Below are 19172 nucleotides of genomic sequence, written 5' to 3'. Positions count from 1 at the left end.
AATAAAAGATGAAAAGAATACTGTAAAACAGGCTGTTCAGGTTCTTGTCACAAAATATTGTGTGATGAAGTCATTCTGGTGGAATGACTAACTGAATGTGAATACAAATTTCCTTTTTGTCTTTAGAAATACTATCAAATTTCCTTTTTGTTGTTAGAAATATATTCTTTACTCATCATTATCCTGAGTTTGAGAAGACTTAAGATAACTGAGAGACAGTTTAGGTGTTGTCATCTGACATTTCATTTATATAATAAACTTCACCATGATTAGAGTTTAGAGTAGTGGTTCTCAACTAGGGTGATTTTGTGTCCCCTTGACCACCCAGGAACCTTGGCTAATGTCTGGAGACATTTTTGATAGCCATAACTTAGCAGGATGGCACTACTGGCCTGCAGTAGGGTAGAGGACAGGGATGCTAAACATCCTGGATTGCACACACAGGATGGCTCCTACAACAAAGAATTATTTGGCGCAAAATGTCAATAGTGCTGAGGTTGGGAAACTCTGCTCTAGGCTGCTACTATCTATCTACATTCATATTATGATTTGTCTAATGCTTGTGAAATATCTTCCTTGGTCAGTTTTCATCTGTCATCATTCTGGGTGAAAAGTGAAAAATTCTGAATTCTCAAGTGTCCAATGAAAGCCTGAAAGAAACCAACCAACCAAACAAAAAAATTACAAAGACAGTGTCTGCAGACTTCTTCTATACTTCTGGAAAGATGATGCAAGACACTGGGCAATGCAATAAGAAAACTGAAGGATGATGTAACATCATGATTTACTTCACTATTTTATTGTCCTTCTAGGCTATTCTATCCTTCTTTTATATTTTCATATTATTTTAGTCTTTTTTAGCATAGTTGGAAATAATGAATATGGATGAAGTAATTTCTAGGATGATGAAATAGTAAAATATTTAAGATACAGAAAAACTAAGATTCCATGTCGTATCTTAGATTTACAAAAGTTTCCAATAGATACAAATTGTAACTGAAAAATAGAAGTTTTATTCTGCTATAAAATAAGCAAATTTCTTTTCTTTGAAATAAAATTTCTTTTAAGAAAGAATACAGTCATCAAATATCAATTCTTACAAAGAGAACTGCTCAAAAAAGAGACTCGTATCTTTTAAATGCAGAAAAATATATATGCAGAAAAGATAATTTGTTTTCCGAAAAGTAGTGGTAAACGCCTTACTGAGAACACAGCTATGAATCAATAAATTTCCTAAGTGCAATATACCAGGCTGCCTCTTGATGCTGCTGTTACTGTTAATGGGATAGGGGTGTTTTGGACTTCTTGGCCCAAAATTCATTGGCTGGTTTATCTATAGCCAACAAAGCCAAAGAAAAAGTAATATATTTGGAAACACCAATGAACACAAACATCTTCTCGTGGCATTGACATCTTTGCCCTTGAGAAATCAGGGAGAGTTAATGGTTCTTGAACCTAGATAATTATACTGTGGTTCAAAAGCTATGGCCAAGATTAGACAACTAGATCAATATTTAAATTCCATCTTACATACGCTCTTTCCTGGGGAACCTGGGATAACATGGTGAAGACCTGCTGTTTTCTCTGCTTCCAAGCTCAACTAACAATATATTTGTGCAGGTGTACCCTGTATTATTGTGCTTTGCTTTATCATACCTCACAGATATTGCATTTCCAACAAACTGAAGGTTTGTGGTGGTATCCCTATGTAAAGGAAGTCTCCTGGCACTATTTTTCCAAATGCATGGCTCATTTTTTGTCTCTGTGTCACATTTTGGTAATTCTTATAATATTTCAAGCTTTTCATTATTATTATATATTATGATGATCTGTGATCAAAGATCAGTGATCTTTGATGTTACTCTGATGCAGTTGGGGGTGCCATGAGCCAATTAAGATGGTGAACTTATTCGATAAGTGTTGCATGTTCTGACTTCTTCACCGACCAACCTTTGCTCCTCTTTCTTCCTCCTCTCAGGACTCCCTATTCCCTGAGACACAACAATATTGAAATTAGGCCAATTAATAACCCTACAATGGCCTCTAAGTGTTCAAGTGACAGGAAGAGTGCCACGTCTCTTGCTTCACATCAAAAGCTAGAAATGTTAAGTTTAGTGAGAAATGCATGTCAAAAGCCATACAGGCCAAGGCTAGGCCTCTGGTGCCAAACAGCTAAGTTGTGAATGCAAAGGAAAAGTTCCTGAAGAAAATTAAAAGTGCTACTTCAGTGAATGAAGTATAAGAAAACAAAACAGCCTTAATGCTGAAATGGAGAAAGTTTTAGTGGTCTAGATAGAAGATCAAACCAGCCACAACTTTTCCTTAAGTCAAAGCCTAATCCAGAGCAAGGCCGTAACTCTTTTCAATTCTATGAATATTGAGAGAGACGAAGATGCTTCAGAGGAAAAGTTTGAAGCTAGCAGAGGTTGGTATAAGAGGTTTAAAAAAGAAGCTGTGAAGCAGCAAGTGCTGATGGAGAAGCTGCTGCAAGTTATCCAGAAGATCTAGCCAAGATAACTGATGAAGGTGGCTACACTAAGCAACAGATTTTCAATGTAAACTAAACAGTCTTATAATGGAAGAAGATGCCATCTAGGACTTTCACAGCTAGAGAAGAGAAGTTAATGCCTGGCTTCAAAGCTTCAGGCTGACTCTCTTGTTAGGGGCTAATGCAGCTGGTTAACTGTAACGTCAGGTTTTGAGAGGACTGACTCCAAATCTGAAAGAAGTTCTATTGTGGGCAAAATGCTATCAAATAGCATCACATGCTGCAGAGAAATCTTTCACATAAGGAAGGGTCAATCAATGTGGCAAACTTCACTGTCGTCTTAAAGAAACTGCTGTAGCCACGCTAACGTTACTTCAGCAACCACCAGCTTGGTAAGTCAGCAGCCATCAACACTGAGGCAAGACCCTCCACCAGCAAAAAGATTACAACTTGCTGAAGCCTTGCATGATCATCAGCATTTTTGAGCAATATTTTTAAAGTATGTACATTGTTGTGTTAGACGTAAGGCTATCACACACTTTACAGATGACAGACTATTACACACTTTACAGATGACAGTATAATGTGAACAGAACTTTTATATGCACTGGGAAACCAAAACATTTGTGACTCTATTGTGATTTCTGCTTTAGTACAGTGGTCTAGAACTAGACCACTCACAATACCTCAGAGGTATAGCTGTACTTCAGTCTCAACTTCAAGGTTATCATCTCAGAGAGGTCTTTCCTGAACCCAATATATATATATTTGCCTTTTCCCCACAAATCCTCAGTTAGTTATTCTTAGCTCACTATTGTTTTTTCCTTCCTGGCACTTAATGTGATTTATACAGCTGACCCTTGGACAATATAGGGGATAGGGGCAACTGATCTCCTGTACAACTGAAAATCCATGTGTAAATTTTGACTCCCCAAAAACTTAACTACAAATGACTACTGTAGATTGGAAGTCTTAACAGAAATATAAACAGTTGATTAACACTTACTTGGTATATGTACTATACATTATATTCTTACAATAGAGTAAGACAGTGAAAATAAAATGTTATTAAGAAAATCATAAGGAAGAGAAAATTCATTTACAGTACTGTACTGTATTTACTGATACTATACATTTATTTTGTCTTTTGGCCGGGCATGATGGCTCACACCTGTAATCCTAGCACTTTGGGAGGTAGGGGAGGGAGGATCACTTGAGCTCAGGAGTTCGAGACCAGCCCAGGCAACACAGTGAGACCCCATCTCTCTCTTGTTTTTTGTTTTTTTGAGACGGAGTCTCACTCTGTTGCCCAGGCTGGAGTGCAGCGGCGCAATCTCGGCTCACTGCAACCTCCATCTCCCAGGTTCAAGTGATTCTCCTGCCTCAGCCTCCTGAGTAGCTAACAGGCATGTACAACAACGCCTGGCTAATTTTGGTATTTTTAGTAGAGACGGGGTTTCACCATATTGGCCGGGCTGGTCTTGAACTCCTGACCTCGTGATCCACCCGCCTCGGCCTCCCAAAATGCTAGGATTACAGGTGTGATCCACCTACCCCATCTCTTATTAAAAAAAAAAAGTTTGGCCGGGCGCGGTGGCTCACGCCTGTAATCCCAGCACTTTGGGAGGCCGAGGCGGGTGGATCACATGAAGTCAGGAGTTCAAGACCAGCCTGACCAACATGGAGACACCCCGTCTCTATTAAAAATACAAAAATTAGCTGGGCATGGTGGCGCATGCCTGTAATCCCAGCTACTCAGGAGGCTGAGGCAGGAGGATCACTTGAACCCGGGAGGCAGAGGTTGCAGTGAGCCAAGATTGTGCCATTGCACTCTAGCCTGAGCAACAAGAGCAAAACGCCATCTCAAAAAAACAAAAACAAACAAAGTTTATGTTGTCTGTTTACAAGATTAGTTGTCTGTCTGAAATAAGGGCAACTGCAGCTGCAGACCTCAATATATGGTACACATCAAGCAATTCAACTTTTGCTTGTAACGTCATGACGTTTCTCTGCTTCTTGAGAGTACCTCTAGCATCACTAGAGGCACTCCTTACAGCCCTCATAGTGTTATTCAGGGTTCACGGTATTGCACTAAACATGATGAAAAATATCCAAGAACTGTGAGAGATCACTTTTCACTGCAATAAACAATTTACTGAAGTGATGAAGTACTCATGTAGAGATGATCAGCATTACATAGCATTTTGTTTTGTTTTGTTTTTTGAGACGGAGTCTTGCTCTGTTGCCCAGGCTGGAGTGCAATGGCGTGACCTCGGCTCACTGCAACCTCTGCCTCCCGGGTTCAAGCAATTCTCCTAACTTAGCCTCCCGAGTAGCTGGGATTACAGGCACATGCCACCACACCCGGCTTTTTGTATTTTTAGTAGAGACGGGATTTCACCATGTTTGCCAGGCTGGTTTTGAACTCTGACCTCAGGTGATTCACCCGCTTCGGCCTCCCAAAGTGCTGGGATTACAGGCATGAGCCACTGCACCCAGCCTACATAGCATTTTAAGTGGATATATGCAATGCTTGAGCTTACTACAATAGCAACAGGAGGTGGCTATGAAATTATTACAGTAGTACAGTATGTACTACAGTTAATTTTATGCAGATACAATTTAATACTGCATCTTTATATATGTTTGCATTTCTCTTGACTATGAGTGGTACCATGTATGGTCTGTGTTTGTGTGTGTATGTTTTGATAAATTTTAACTTTTTATAATAGATTTGTGTATATTTTATGGTCGTAAATGATAAAATAGACTTGTATCTATACATATTTTATGGATTCATGACATACCTAACTTCAATTTTTTTGATACTTCTGGACAATGTAGTTTATCTCCAAGTTTTTTTCAAATTGTCACAAATCTCCAAAAAATTTTCCAATATATTTATTGAAAAAAATCCACATATAAGTAGACCAGTGTAGTTCATATCCATGTTGTTCAAGGGTCAACTGTAATCTTATATTTCTGCTTTTATCTGCTTAATGTCTGTTTTCACAGTTAGAGTGCATACTCAATGAAGGTCTGTTTAGTTCATGACTTTATTACCTAGTGCCTTTCCCAGTGCTTTACACATAGTCGGCATTCAATAAATATTTGTTAAATGAATGAAGGCAAGCTAGGGCTTTAAAAAAGCAGAGGTGCAGTAAAAATATTAGCATATAGAGAACTTAATTCTATTGCAATATTGGTCCTAGAGTTCATAGTATCTATGCCAGTAAAATATATGGATCCTTTTCCATAGAGAAAGTATCTACCTAAATCCACAGATTATAATTGATACTTAATAAACTCAGTGATTTGCCTTACCAGTCCTGCGTGGGAATAGCTAAATCCTGCTTCTCGGGATACAGACCAATTGGCATGCTCTTCAATCACTGACATATCTGGGAACTTTACCACACTGCTGAACCAGTCAAACTCCAACTCTAAGCATGGAGTTTCCTAAGAGATGGAAGAAAAGCTATTATATATACATAAGAGAGAAGGTTTGACTGCCATAAAAAATATCTAATTTATGACAATAAAAACCTTACTTTATTTGGATTTGATCCAGTAACACCAATAGGGTTCAGCAAATCTTCTAATCCATGAGGTACTGGCCAAAGATTCAAAGCCATTTTTCCAGATACTAGAGTGTCTGTGTAATCAAACAAGTTTATATTTCCCCATGCCAATGGACAGTGTTCCTTAAAAAACAAAGAAAAATATTCACTAGTCTAAATTATAAAACACATTTCAAAACACTTTTCTTCCCCAAAAGGAAAATTCAACAATCATCTCTATAATAATGGGAATATCTAAAAAAAAAAAATTGATTTTTCAAGGTTTAAGCCCATTCTTTCCTTTTTCCCCATTTGAAATTACATGTATTTTAATTATAAATAGAAAATATGAACCAAAGCAAGCATGAGATATTTGCATGCAATCCCTGTTATATAGTCACTTTGCATTTTTAAAAATGGTATCAATAAGAACTCAAAACATATTCATCATAAATTCCTGAAGCTCTCCCAAGGTATTCTTCCATGATACATTTATTAAAATTTTAAAAATAGGTTTATTATTATTTTCTTAAATATAAAATAACATCCAATTTGTGAAAAAATTCAATCAGCGGTATAATCAGGAGTTTTTAAAGGTAAACATAATTGTTCCTTCTGAAATACTTTACCTCTTTAGCACCCTTTCGGCCTTTAACAGAGCAAATGGAAAGGCAAAGTCGAGCAGCACGAGGAAGATCAGGAATGTATATATCATAATTCAGCCATTCATTCCACCTATGTAAAATTTTAAAGCAAAAATAATACATCAAGAAAAGTCTTCATCAAAGTATATAAATGACTCCTACAAATCACGAAGACAAAGATCAACCAAACGAAAAACAGGAAAGAGATTGATTGGAAAAGGCACTTTATAAGGTCATATTCAAATAGTTAATAAACATGAAAAGGGAGTCATTATTAGTCATACAGAAAATGAAAATTAAAATCTCATGGAGATATCACTATACATAAGAATGGCTAAACTATAAAGACTGATGATGCCAAGGGGTGGTAAGGTTATGCAGTAATAGGAAATCTCATACACTAAGAGTATTGGGGTATAATTTGTTACAACCAATTTGGAAAGCATAATCTAATAAAAGTGAGCATATGTATTCCCTGTGACCCAGCTCCAATTGTAGGAATAAAACCACAGAAATGTGTGCATTTGTTAAAAGCAGAAGACATGGGTATTTACTTTGTGACTGAACTATACAATTATGATTTGTATACTTTTATGCATGTGTGCTACATACGTCACTAAAAAACTTATTTATATTTATAATATATATTATATAATATACTATATACATAATATAAATATATATTTATTATTTCTATATATTTATATATATAATTTTGCTCATAAAAGTCAAACAAAAGGAAAACTAAAGGTAAAATAAGATTTCCTATTATGATTACATTTAGTTACTTTTATACATAATATAGTTTTATCCAAAGGAATCCACTAAATAAATCAGTAGGTAAATAAAATGATGGATACATAAAGTATTTGAATTGAAGAATAATTATTTTATAAAAGGTAATGAAACTTCACATTCATAAGGGAAGAATAAAACACTGCTACAAAAAGTGAACAAGATAAAAAATTATTTGAATTTTAATGATAAATTCCCTCAATTTACTGGGTGCTACATGTGAAATTATGTCTGTCTTTGGTGAACATATTTGTAAAGAACCACATACAATAAACAGTTTTGTATTTTAAAAAAACATTATAACAATGGATAAAGAGTATGGGCTCAGAAATCAGACTGGAGTAGAATCTTATTTCCCCTTTTTCACTAAGTGTGTGACCCTTGCTTTGTCTTTTGCCTCCTCTATGAAATGGGACTAATAATAGTACCTACCCTCATAAGGTTGATAACTATCTCATAAAATTAAATGAGATAACACAAGCAAAGGAATTAGAATAGCAATTGTCCCATGATAGAAGCTCATATGTTAGATAGTAATTTTAAAAACTTTTCAAATGTCTTATCATTCTGGTCTAATCTTGATTATAAATAAAATAATTCTTAATCAACAATAAAATAGTATAACAATTCTATTTTTAATTAGCCAACTAAGTAATAAACTTCATCAGTAAAATAAGTTCCATTTATTCTAGCATTTTTGCTCAAGTATGGATAAAGATTTTTAAAAATATGGTCTATTTATAGAAACAAGACACATTTAAAATGGGGAAATGTGGCAAGAATTCTAAAGGTAAAAGAAAAAACAAATGTTATTATTATTATTATTTTTTAGAGATAGGGTATTGCTATGTGCCCAGGCTGAAGTGCAGTGGCTAGTCACAGGCATGACCAAAGTGCATTATAGCTTCGAACTCCTGGGCTCAAGTGATCCTCTTGCCTCAGCCTCCCTTAGCCTCCTGAGTTGCTGGGATTTCAGGCGCATACTACCATGCCCAGTAACACATATAATTGTAGAAACATATAGAGAAAAATATTATGGGACTTAAGTCCGCAATGATTTAAAAAAAATTAGGCTGGGCATGGTGGCTCACACCTGTAATCCCAGCACTTTGGGAGGCCAAGGTGGACGGATCACCTGAGGTCAGGAGTTCGAAGCCAGTCTGGCCAACGTGGCAAAACCCCATCTCTACTAAAAATGCCAAGATTAGCTGGGCGTGGTGGTGGGCGCCTGTAACTCCAGCTACTCAGGAGGCTGAGGCAGAGGTTGCAGTGAGTCGAGTTTGTGCCATGCACTCCAGCCTGGGCGACAGAGCAAGACTCCGCCTCCAAAAAAAAAAAAAAGAAAAGAAAAATTAAAGATATATTACTTTAATGTACCAGACTTTTTATTATTCCTAAATCTTTAGAAGTGCTCATAAATTAATAAGAAGTGTTCTATACTCTAAGAGAGCTATGTCCTACAAATCTACTTGTTCAGCCCTATGCTAACAAAATAAAGCATGTTTCTCTTTTCTTCTAAAGTCCATCCATCCCACAACACACAGACACACACACATATACACATGCTCAATTAAGTTCTTTATTTCTAGAAAATGGTTGTGTGTGTGTATACAGTCCAAATTGACTCTGATTTTGGGAGATACTTGTAACATTTACAAAGAAATCATAAAGCATCTAATTTAGCATAAAAGAAGCACAGATTTGAAACAAATATTTAGTAAGAATTTTTAAAATCTACTTTTCTATCTTTTTAATAACTTCATATTCATTTATCTGATTTTTGTTTTTGTAAGCACAGAAAAGTTTAAAAAGTTTACTTAAATTTTCACACTACCATAAATACTTCACCTTTTAGACTACAGAATGCTTAAAGACAAATATAGTCCTTTCTAAATAGCTATTTTACTAACATTTCAACATTTTAATCATATATTATTAAATAAGTTTATCTTTTACTTTTTTTTTTTTTTTTGAGTCGGGGTCTCACTCTGCCCCCTAGACTGGACTGCAGTAGTACGATCATGGCTCACTGCAGTCTCAACCTCCCTGGGCTCAGGTGATCCTCCCACCTCACCCTCCTGAGTAGCTGGGACTATAGGTACACACACCACCATCCCAGGCTAATTTTTTGTATTTTTGGTAGAGACTGTGTTTTTCCATATAGCCCAGGGTGGTCTCAAACTCCTGGGCTCAAATGATCCATCTGCCTTGGCTTCCCAAAGTGTTGGGATTATAGGCGTGAGCCACCACGCCCAGCCTTTTACTTTTATAAAGCTAGTTTAACTTGTGGTACTTGAAACAGCTAGCTAGGATAATTCTATCCAGTATTATTTTGGGGTCTTTGCTTGGGGCTTGTTGAACTCCTTGGATTGACGGGTTTATAGTTTTTACCAAATTTGGAAAAATTCTGGCTATTATTTCCTCAAATGTTGTTTTTCTTTTCCTGCTACAACCACCCCACTAATCAGTGTGAGGCATACCAGTATGAGTGGGATATAAACTCTTGTTTTAGCAAGAATTTAAAAAGATCCTGGCCGGGCATGATGGCTCAGGCCTGTAATCCCAGCACTTTGGGAGGCCAAGGTGGGTGGGATCACCTGAGGTCAGAAGTTCAAGACCAGCCTGGCCAACATGGTGAAACCCCCCTCTACTGAAAATACAAAAAATAAGCTGGGCGCAGTGGCATGTGCCTGTAGTCCCAGCTACTAGGGAGGCTGAGGCAGGAGAATCGCTTACACTTGACTGTACTCCAGCCTGGGCCACAGGGTGAGACTTCAACTCAAAAAAAAAAAAAAAAAAAAAAAGATCCTGAAGTTGTTTGTTGTCACAATCTCATTTCTGACCTGAATGATACGTTTTCTGACCTACAGTGGTTTAGGTAGGCTGAGGAACTATCTTCCTTCCCTGTGGCAGACAAGGCTACCATCTCTTTTAACCTTACCTAGGCTCTAAAAGGGTGGCCATCTTTAGCAACAAGACCAGAACTTTTTCTTGAATGTCTTAGAACTCAGTCTAAATTCATTATGAGATTTACTTCTGGAGGAGTCACTAGTTAGCTCTATTGTTATTTTATCATAAAGTCCAATAACAATTTGAGTTCTCTTGAAATATTACTGCTATTACGTTCAGGGGTACTCTTATTCCCAAATGACTGTATAGAGAGAAGCAAAGAAATGCAGGATAGTCAGCTATTGGATTATACTACTTTTTATTTCTTCATCACATCCAGGCAGTAATAATTTAAAATGTTCCCCATAACTCCCTCTCCCACTAACAAATTAATTTGCTACCAAAGACCCTTTATTTGAAAGCCATAAATATCTATTCTTGGGAGTGATTTGAAGGAAACTGCCTCAGGGTAGTTTGGTTATGGAGTTGCTTGCCAACTCTTACTTCTCCTTCATGTGAATGATGATGGAGACAGGAAAAGAATAAAATGCTAGGTTTTTAATCTAATGTGGGGAATGATTAGCATAAAATTATAACCATACTCTGTTCTCTCTTTGATACAATGAAAAGAGACAATCAGAAACTATTCTGATAAAACTTTAGACAGAATCAATAAAATAATCCTGTGACTGATACTCATTTGACAGAAAGTCTTGCTGGTCTATATGTACATTTCTGGTAATTTATTAATATATAGCTTGTATAAAGCTAATGATGTAAAATATATATATATTTTGAGATCAGGTCTCACTAATGCTGGAATGCAGTGGCACGATCATAGCTGACTGCAGCCTGGAACTTCCAGGATCAAGCAATTCTCCTATTCTCCTGTCTCAGCCTCCCTAATGGCTGGGACTACAGGCACATGCCACTGTGCCTAGCTAATTTTTTTTTTTTTTTTTTTTTTTTTTTTTTTTTTTTGAGACGGAGTCTCGCTCTGTTGCCCAGGCTGGAGTGCAATGGCACAATCTCAGCTCACTGCAACCTCAGCCTTCCAGGTTCAAGCGATTCTCCTGCCTCAGTCTCCCAAGTAGCTGGGATTACAGGTGCCCGCCACCACGCCCGGCTAATGTTTTTTTATTTTTAGTAGAGATGGGGTTTCTCCATCTTGGCCAGACTGGTCTCAAACTCCGACTTCGTGATCCACCCGCCTCAGCCTCCCAAAGCGCTGGGATTACAGGCATGAGCCACCGTGCCTGGCCAGTGCCTAGCTAATTTTTAAGAAAAACTTTTTGTAGAAATGGGGTCTTGCTTTGTTGCCCAGGCTGGTCTAAAAAAATATACTACTTTTATGGATCATACTGCTAAACACTAATATAACCTTTGGAAATATAAATCTATATACTTCCTTACCTGGGATTGGAACAAGGTACTCTTTGAGTGTTCACATTGTCACATAAGGGTTCTCCTCCATGGTAGATACCTGTTCGAACATAGATCTAAAAGAAAAAAGTAGGTATATACTAATGTATACACTCAACATACACATATGCACACACTCGATAGACTCAAATATAAAACCACGGAATTTTTGTTCAGATATAGCTTGGTTCTCCTTTTTTTCACATATGTAACACGTTAATACTGATGTAGAGTCTTCACCAAAATTAGTTGCTGCCTTCATCCACTAATAACAATGGAGACATCAGACTACTAAAACATAAATATAGGCCCACAATCCCCTTAAGGGAGGTATGTAATTCAGAGTTTTTCCATATTTTAGAAAGCTAAATTGGTACACGTACTTACTAAATACTACTTCCTTAGCTGGTGAAGCAGTACCTCATAAAGACATTAATATTTCTTTAATAAGATACCGGAATTTTATACTAAGTGGGGTTAATAAAGATTATAAAAACCCTCACTTAAGGTTGGCCCAGGTCTTTCTGCCAAACGAATTCTGTAAAACTTTTGATTTTAAGAGCTAGAATTGTGAATATTAGAATTATTAACAAAGGACTGTGAGCTGTATAATAGCTAAGGTAGATGGAAGCTCAAGTAAAATTCTTGATATATTTTTACATTCGGAGATTTGGATGTTCTCCTAACCATCTGAAAACATACTACAGGTCAACAGATTACTGTATAGTGCAAGAAAAAGGTTATCTAAAATAATTTCTATAAAATAATAAGCATCAGCATTTGACTTTACCTTATCAATGTCTCGAATATTTACATTCACGTAGGTTGCACAAAGAATTTTTATTCTGAGTGCACTATTTATAACCCAAAGGGATTTTGTAGATGTTTCTCCATTCATATATGGTGTAGCTGTGGAAATGCGTCTGGAATAAGATGGCATTGTAAAACAGTCCATTGGCAGTTGAGAATAAAGGCTTTCTTTAGCCATCAACATCAAATTGGGCATCCTCCCAAGCATTATACAGCTTCTTATATACTGTAAGAGATTAAGGGGGCGAGCCATTTCCTGTAAGGTTTTTCATTTTAAAAGTAACATGTCAGAGTATTATGACTACATATTAATCTGCAAAGGTGATAAAAAATTAAACATTATAGACCACATTTACTAGTAGTTCCTATAACATTTAAAATACTAACATTTAGGATTTACGTTGAAGCACAAGATCAATCAAACACTTCTGAATATAAATTGCACGAAAGAAAAAAATTAAGGTCAACTTTTGAAACTGTAGTTCTACCCTTAACTGGAGGCAAAAAAAGGAATTAAAAACAAGGATCACGGCCGGGCGTGGTGGCTCACGCCTGTAATCCCAGCACTTTGGGAGGCCGAGGCGGGCGGATCACGAGGTCAGGAGATCGAGACCATCCTGGCTAAAACGGTGAAACCCCGTCTCTACTAAAAATACAAAAAATTAGCCGGGCGTAGTGGCGGGCGCCTGTAGTCCCAGCTACTTGGGAGGCTGAGGCAGGAGAATGGCGTGAACCCGGGAGGCGGAGCTTGCAGTGAGCCGAGATCCTGCCACTGCACTCCAGCCTGGGCGACAGAGCAAGACTCCGTCTCAAAAAAAAAAAAAAAAAAACAAGGATCACAGGATACTCATTATGAAAACATTGTATATGATAACAGAAAAGTAATATCACTTAGGACGCCTCTGTCATTCAATCTATTAAGTCATACTGATGTCCCATCCAAAGGCTGCTGTTCACTTGCTTTTTTGTCCAAACATTTCCTGAGAAACATTAGTTTTGCTAAAATTAAAACAAAAAACCACAAATAGTGGAGACCAGTAACATTATGGATATTTACAAAAAATGTTAAAATATACTGGTCTGAATTTTGAAATGGTAGTTAAGACGAGATTTTTAATATAAATGTTACTATATACACATTATTTTCTTACCCATAAGCCCCACTAGAAAATAAGCAACCTGAAGGCCAGGCCCAGGTTTTACTTGGTTATGTAAATTAGTACTCGACATATGCTTGGCACAAACGTAGTTGCTTCTTATAGGTATTTATTTAATAAACAGAAAAAGAGAGTAGGAAAGTATCAATAGTATATCTTAACAGTAGGTCATGGATTTTTTGAAATGTCTATTTCAATTCCATTCCACAGCCACTGGTTGGAGGGGATAAAAATCACGAAATAGGCTGGGCGCAATGGCTCACGCCTGTAATCCCAGCACTGTGGGAGGCCAAGGCAGGAGGATTGTTTGTGCCCAGAATTCGAGACCAACCTGGACAATATGAGACTCTGTCTCTAAACAAACAAACAAACAAACAAAAATTAGCTGGGCATGGTGGCACACGCATGTGGTCCCAGCCACTTAGGAGGCTGAGGTGAGAGGACTGCTTGAGCCTGGGAGGCTGATGCTGCAGTAAGCCATGATCATACCACTGCATTCCAGCCTGAGAGACAAAGCGAGACCCTGTCTCGAAAAACAAACAAACAACAACAAAAACAACAACCCCATGGAATATCTATATTTGGGAGCTGGAGTAACTGCCAACATTTTCAGCCTCTCGAATTAATCACAGAATTAAAAGAATAAGCTTACAAACGCTATTTACTAATATTACTTATCAAGAAGTATATCCTAAAAATAGATACTTGGCTGGGCGTGGTGGCTCACGTCTGTAATCCCAGCACTTTGGGAAGCCACGGAGAGTGGATCACGAGGTCAGGAGATCAAGACTATCCTAGATAACATGGTGCAAAACCTGTCTCTACTAAAAATACAAAAAATTAGCCAGGTGTGGTGGCGGGCGCCTGTAGTCCCAGCTGCTCGGGAGGCTGAGGCAGGAGAATGGCATGAACCCAGGAGGCAGAGCCTGCAGTGAGCCGAGATCGCGCCACTGCACTCCAGCCTGGGCGAGAGTGAGATTCCGTCTCAAAAAAAAAAAAAAAATACAGATACTCATCCTCAATGTGATTACTTTTTAAATTAAAAATTAATATTTTGAAACTTGTTACTCACCTTATACTGACTCAGAGGATATTTTTCTAGGAAGTATTCATCACATCCACACACTTTTAAAATATACTTGCCCTGATATTCTAAAACACAGAGTTTTAGTTGTTCAGAGGATAGCAACATACTTCGAGTTTTTTTCCTGATTGCTTCAGCAATTACTTGTTCTGGTACACAGTCATGGTTGATTTTCAGAGTATACTTCTGCTTGTCATTATTTGGAGAAACTATTACCCAGATCACCACTATTATTTGCCCTATAACAGGAAAACATTAGATGCAATCACCATCTCTCTTTCATTTTTCAAGGGAGAAATTTCAACAAGTATTCACTATCATTACTTTATCCATATCAGAAATGCTTTTTAATCAGCCCAATTAAAACTAGGTAAATATCAGGTAGAAACAGAAAATGTTTATATCTGAGCGGGCTGCCAGATCATTCCCAAATCTCATGTTTTATGACAAGCACACAAAACTGTGATATGTGGGTCACAAGTACCTGAGACCAAGCTAATTTCCATTCTAAACTGTATGACATACTTCATGGGTACTGCCCCTATGAATAGTGATTCATGATGGTCTCAAAGGTTTGACAGTGCCTAAGGTGGAAGTTTTTGGTAACTATGGGAAGTAAAGAAAGAACCAATGGAGGTTTAAAGATGTTCAATTAGAATGACAGAAAATGTGAGGGAGGAAAGGTAAGAAAATTACGAGGGGAGAGGAAATGCATTGTCTAATTTTCTCCTTTTAAGATTAAGCCAGGAGTCCAAAAAAGAAGAAAAGAGAAAGATGAAGAAAACGGGAAGACAAACTATTTAGAGAGGTTTGGTTGTTCACAGTACATTTCTTTCAAGTTGTCTATATGTTGAAAATTTTTCACAAAGAATGTTCGGGAAAATGAAAAGAGCATTAAAATATATGCTAGAATAGAAAAGAATTTTGAAAGATCTTATGTTGCATTAAACTACTTTGAAAAATACGAATAGTAATAAGATGTCTTAACTTATTCTACTAACAGAATTTGATATTTAATAGTGTGTGAGAGTTAACTCAAATTGATAATTTTACTGTTACCCTGAAAAATATAGATATTTATCTGATACAATGACATGCATTTTGAAAACAATATAGTTTAGTTTCTTGTTCCCTTAATTCTAGAAACTAATATATTAAATATCAAAAATCTCCCTATATATTATCACCCATGATCAGAATTACTGCATTTAATACTTAAGAAAATTACTTATTTTTTTCTGGTGTATTTATGATATATAATAACAAGAATGTATAAAGTTTTCCCAAAATTTCATAAAATGTTTCTATTTATAGTTTTTATTTATGAAAAGATAATCAGCTCTAATTCTGAATCCTAAAAAATAGTAAATTTCAAACTCATACTTCTTCCGTTTTATAGACAATTTACCAAGAAATCAGTATCATATTCACACAAAAATTCAACCAATAAATATTGATTGTACATAATTTCTATTTAGCACTCAACTATATCTTGTCAGTATAAGCAGTCCCTGCCTTCAAGAAGCTTACTATCTAGCTGGAAAAAAAAAAAAAGACTATACAAAGATATAGACACAGGTAGAAGACTGCACTATAGTAATGATTAGAGTAGATTAGTCATTTTCTTACCTTTATCTAATTTATTATATATGTGCTTTGGCAATTCTGGTGAAGATTCTACATTTGGAGGATAGACATACATTGCTCTACTATGAGGTGAATTGAGGTCCCTAAGATCCACAGCTTCTTTACAAACGTTCAGAATATTTCTTCGGAAGTCCTGTACTTCTGGATCTTTAACCATATCAAATTCACACACTGGCATGCCGATAGCAAAACCTTTAATAAAATTACATAAAGAATATAACATTCTATTACATACACAGCATGAACATGTTTTTTTTGCAAACAGGGAACTCTGTAGATTTGGAAGATCACAATAAAGTAAAAAAAGTACCGCTAGGTTAAAACAAATTTTTGATGAATGCATATATATTAAAAGTTGACAGTCCTGAATATTTTTAATATATAAAAAATAATATATTCAGCAATTTAGAGCAAAGGCAGCAAACATTCCTATCAATCATTTTTAAAAGAATAACAACACTGAGATATAACAAATCTAAGTCATCCCACAAATGACATTTCTTAAATAAAACCTTATGGAATAATATCAAGGTGTTAAAAATAGTTCCATAGTTCGATAGTAAAACATACTTTAGATTTATGATTTTTATTTAGAAAGCTATTTAAGATTACGAAGGTATTGGTTTAGACAGAAATATTTTAGAAAGGGACAACAGTTAAGCTTTATGGTTATTTGCATTTTAGAATAGGATATTGTATCATACCAATTTCTCGATTGAGGATCTTTTCTTCACGGTTGCCTACTGGTTCAATTACTTTTAAAAAGGGTTGAAAAAGCCGAAGGTCACAAAGTCGTCTTGTTTCATCAAAAAATTCTTCCCTTTCTGCTTCTTGAGTAACACTTACGAAAATGTAAGAAGATTCATCTTGAAGAAGTTGATGGAGGGGGTATTTTCTTGCTTCTTTAAATAGTTCATGCTTTATGGTTATTAATGTAGCCTCACGGAGGCATTCTAAAGTCACTATCATTCCATTTGGTAGTAAACATTCTACTAGGATTCTTGGGGGCATCAAGTGGATGCCCCACAGTTCACCTGATGATGGTCGTGGAGGCATTGTTCTGATTCTTTGCAAGTTTTACATATAAAACTACTTTAAGGAATTAGATGTATGGTTGTCCCAAAGCAGAAACCTAAATCAAAGAAGGAAAACATATGTTAAAAGAGACACAACTACAGAAGAATACATTTATAACACTGCTAAAATGTAAAAACTCATTTTCCATAGTTTGACTTGATTAGGCTAAGTAGTAATAATTCATCTTAAGTATTCTAATCTAGACTGTTGCTCTAAATTAGGCTACAAAGAATTTATTTCAGCAGAGATTAGAAAAACCATTTGTATTTAATTAAATTTAATAAAGTCATTTAAGAAAACACTATATTTGAGTGGATTCTCTAAGGTTTCATCAAGACAGAGATGAGGCTATGGGAAGAATGAAAAGTAAGTTGCAATTCAACCCAAAATTCCCATTGCATATCACCTTTATCATTCTCTTCTATCTTACGGAAAAACAGAATTTAGGCCAGAAACAATCTTTCAGATCATGGGTCCACTGCTCTTATTTTAAAATAAGTAAAACCATGCCTAGAGAAGTCAAATCCTTTTCCTTTTTCACTCCCTGCCCTCAACCTGTAATAATGAGAAATTTTATGGCTTAGTCTTTTGTCTTTCTTAAATCAATCTTTGTAATTTTCCTTTTTCTTTTTGTATTGATTCTTATCTAGGTGATATCTTAGACATTCTGTTCTTAAAGTATGATTTAGGTATATAGTCACAATATTAGAAAGTGTCATCAATGAATTTTCCTTGAAGTATGACGATGAATTTGTAATGATCTATTTACTTTCTCAAATAAACCAGTCCTAATACTTCTGACTGAAATGAATCTACACATAAATAAGATCCATGACTCTCTCTGTTAGTGCAATGTTCCAATCAGTTTGTAATATTTTAAGAACTATTAAGTATTATTATGAGTTGAAGGCCCTTAATTTTTTTAGACATCAACAATCTTGGGGGGTCTTTTAGAAGATGTTATCAAAATCCATAAAACACAAGTTTACTTCTTGCTGTTTATATTTTCTTTTACTCAGTGAGCGAAACTGTAAGAGTATATCAAAAGGCAAAGTGAGAGATACCAAATAAGAAAAAAATGAAAGTTAAGCTAGAGACATGAATCAAAAAGGCCCAGATAACCTACTATATTTGATTAGTCTATCAGATATTGTAGGTAAGAGCTATAAATGACACTATTTGCTTATGCACCAAAAGTGCATTGGTGCTGTCCCCAGGACTATGTTGGATGTGGGAATCTAATGACGAATAAGATAGACATGGCCCTTGCCTTCACAAGACAAGGCAAAGAATATGAAGATTATGTGTATGCTGTGTGTAGGGTAATTACATTCACACTTACAAAACAGAATAAATGCTATCCTGGAGAAGTGCCAGGTTCTATAAAAGCACATAATGCGGTCATCAAGTTTGGGGTGGGATGGTTTCCCATAGTAGGAAACATAAACTTAATCCTTTAAAGATAAGTGGCTGGGCATGGTGGCTCACACCTGTAATCCTAGCATTTTGGGAGGCTGAGGTGGGCAGATCACGAGGTCAGGAGTTTGAGACCAGCCTGACCAACACGGTGAAACCCCGTCTCTACTAAAAATACAAAAG

At 36.2% G+C, this 19172-nt stretch overlaps 1 protein-coding gene across 2 annotated transcripts in view; it reads right to left on the bottom strand.

Moving 5' to 3' along the window:
• PIK3CA (phosphatidylinositol-4,5-bisphosphate 3-kinase catalytic subunit alpha) overlaps nt 1-19172 on the bottom strand; it is a 91968-nt gene that overhangs the window by 23716 nt on the left and 49080 nt on the right. For both annotated transcript variants that reach the window (XM_006713658.5, NM_006218.4), the window contains exons 2-9: nt 17201-17628; nt 16479-16688; nt 14838-15088; nt 12589-12834; nt 11790-11875; nt 6678-6783; nt 6040-6192; nt 5813-5947 (exon numbers count right to left, since the gene is read on the bottom strand). In XM_006713658.5, the coding sequence (XP_006713721.1) occupies nt 5813-5947; nt 6040-6192; nt 6678-6783; nt 11790-11875; nt 12589-12834; nt 14838-15088; nt 16479-16688; nt 17201-17552 (1539 nt within the window). In that variant the 5' untranslated portion in view covers nt 17553-17628. The remainder of the gene's footprint in view (nt 1-5812; nt 5948-6039; nt 6193-6677; nt 6784-11789; nt 11876-12588; nt 12835-14837; nt 15089-16478; nt 16689-17200; nt 17629-19172) is intronic.

Source organism: Homo sapiens, chromosome 3 (genome assembly GCF_000001405.40).
Source record: "Homo sapiens chromosome 3, GRCh38.p14 Primary Assembly".
Classification (NCBI taxonomy): Eukaryota; Metazoa; Chordata; class Mammalia; order Primates; family Hominidae; genus Homo; species Homo sapiens.
This window is presented reverse-complemented; position numbering and strand designations above follow the sequence as displayed.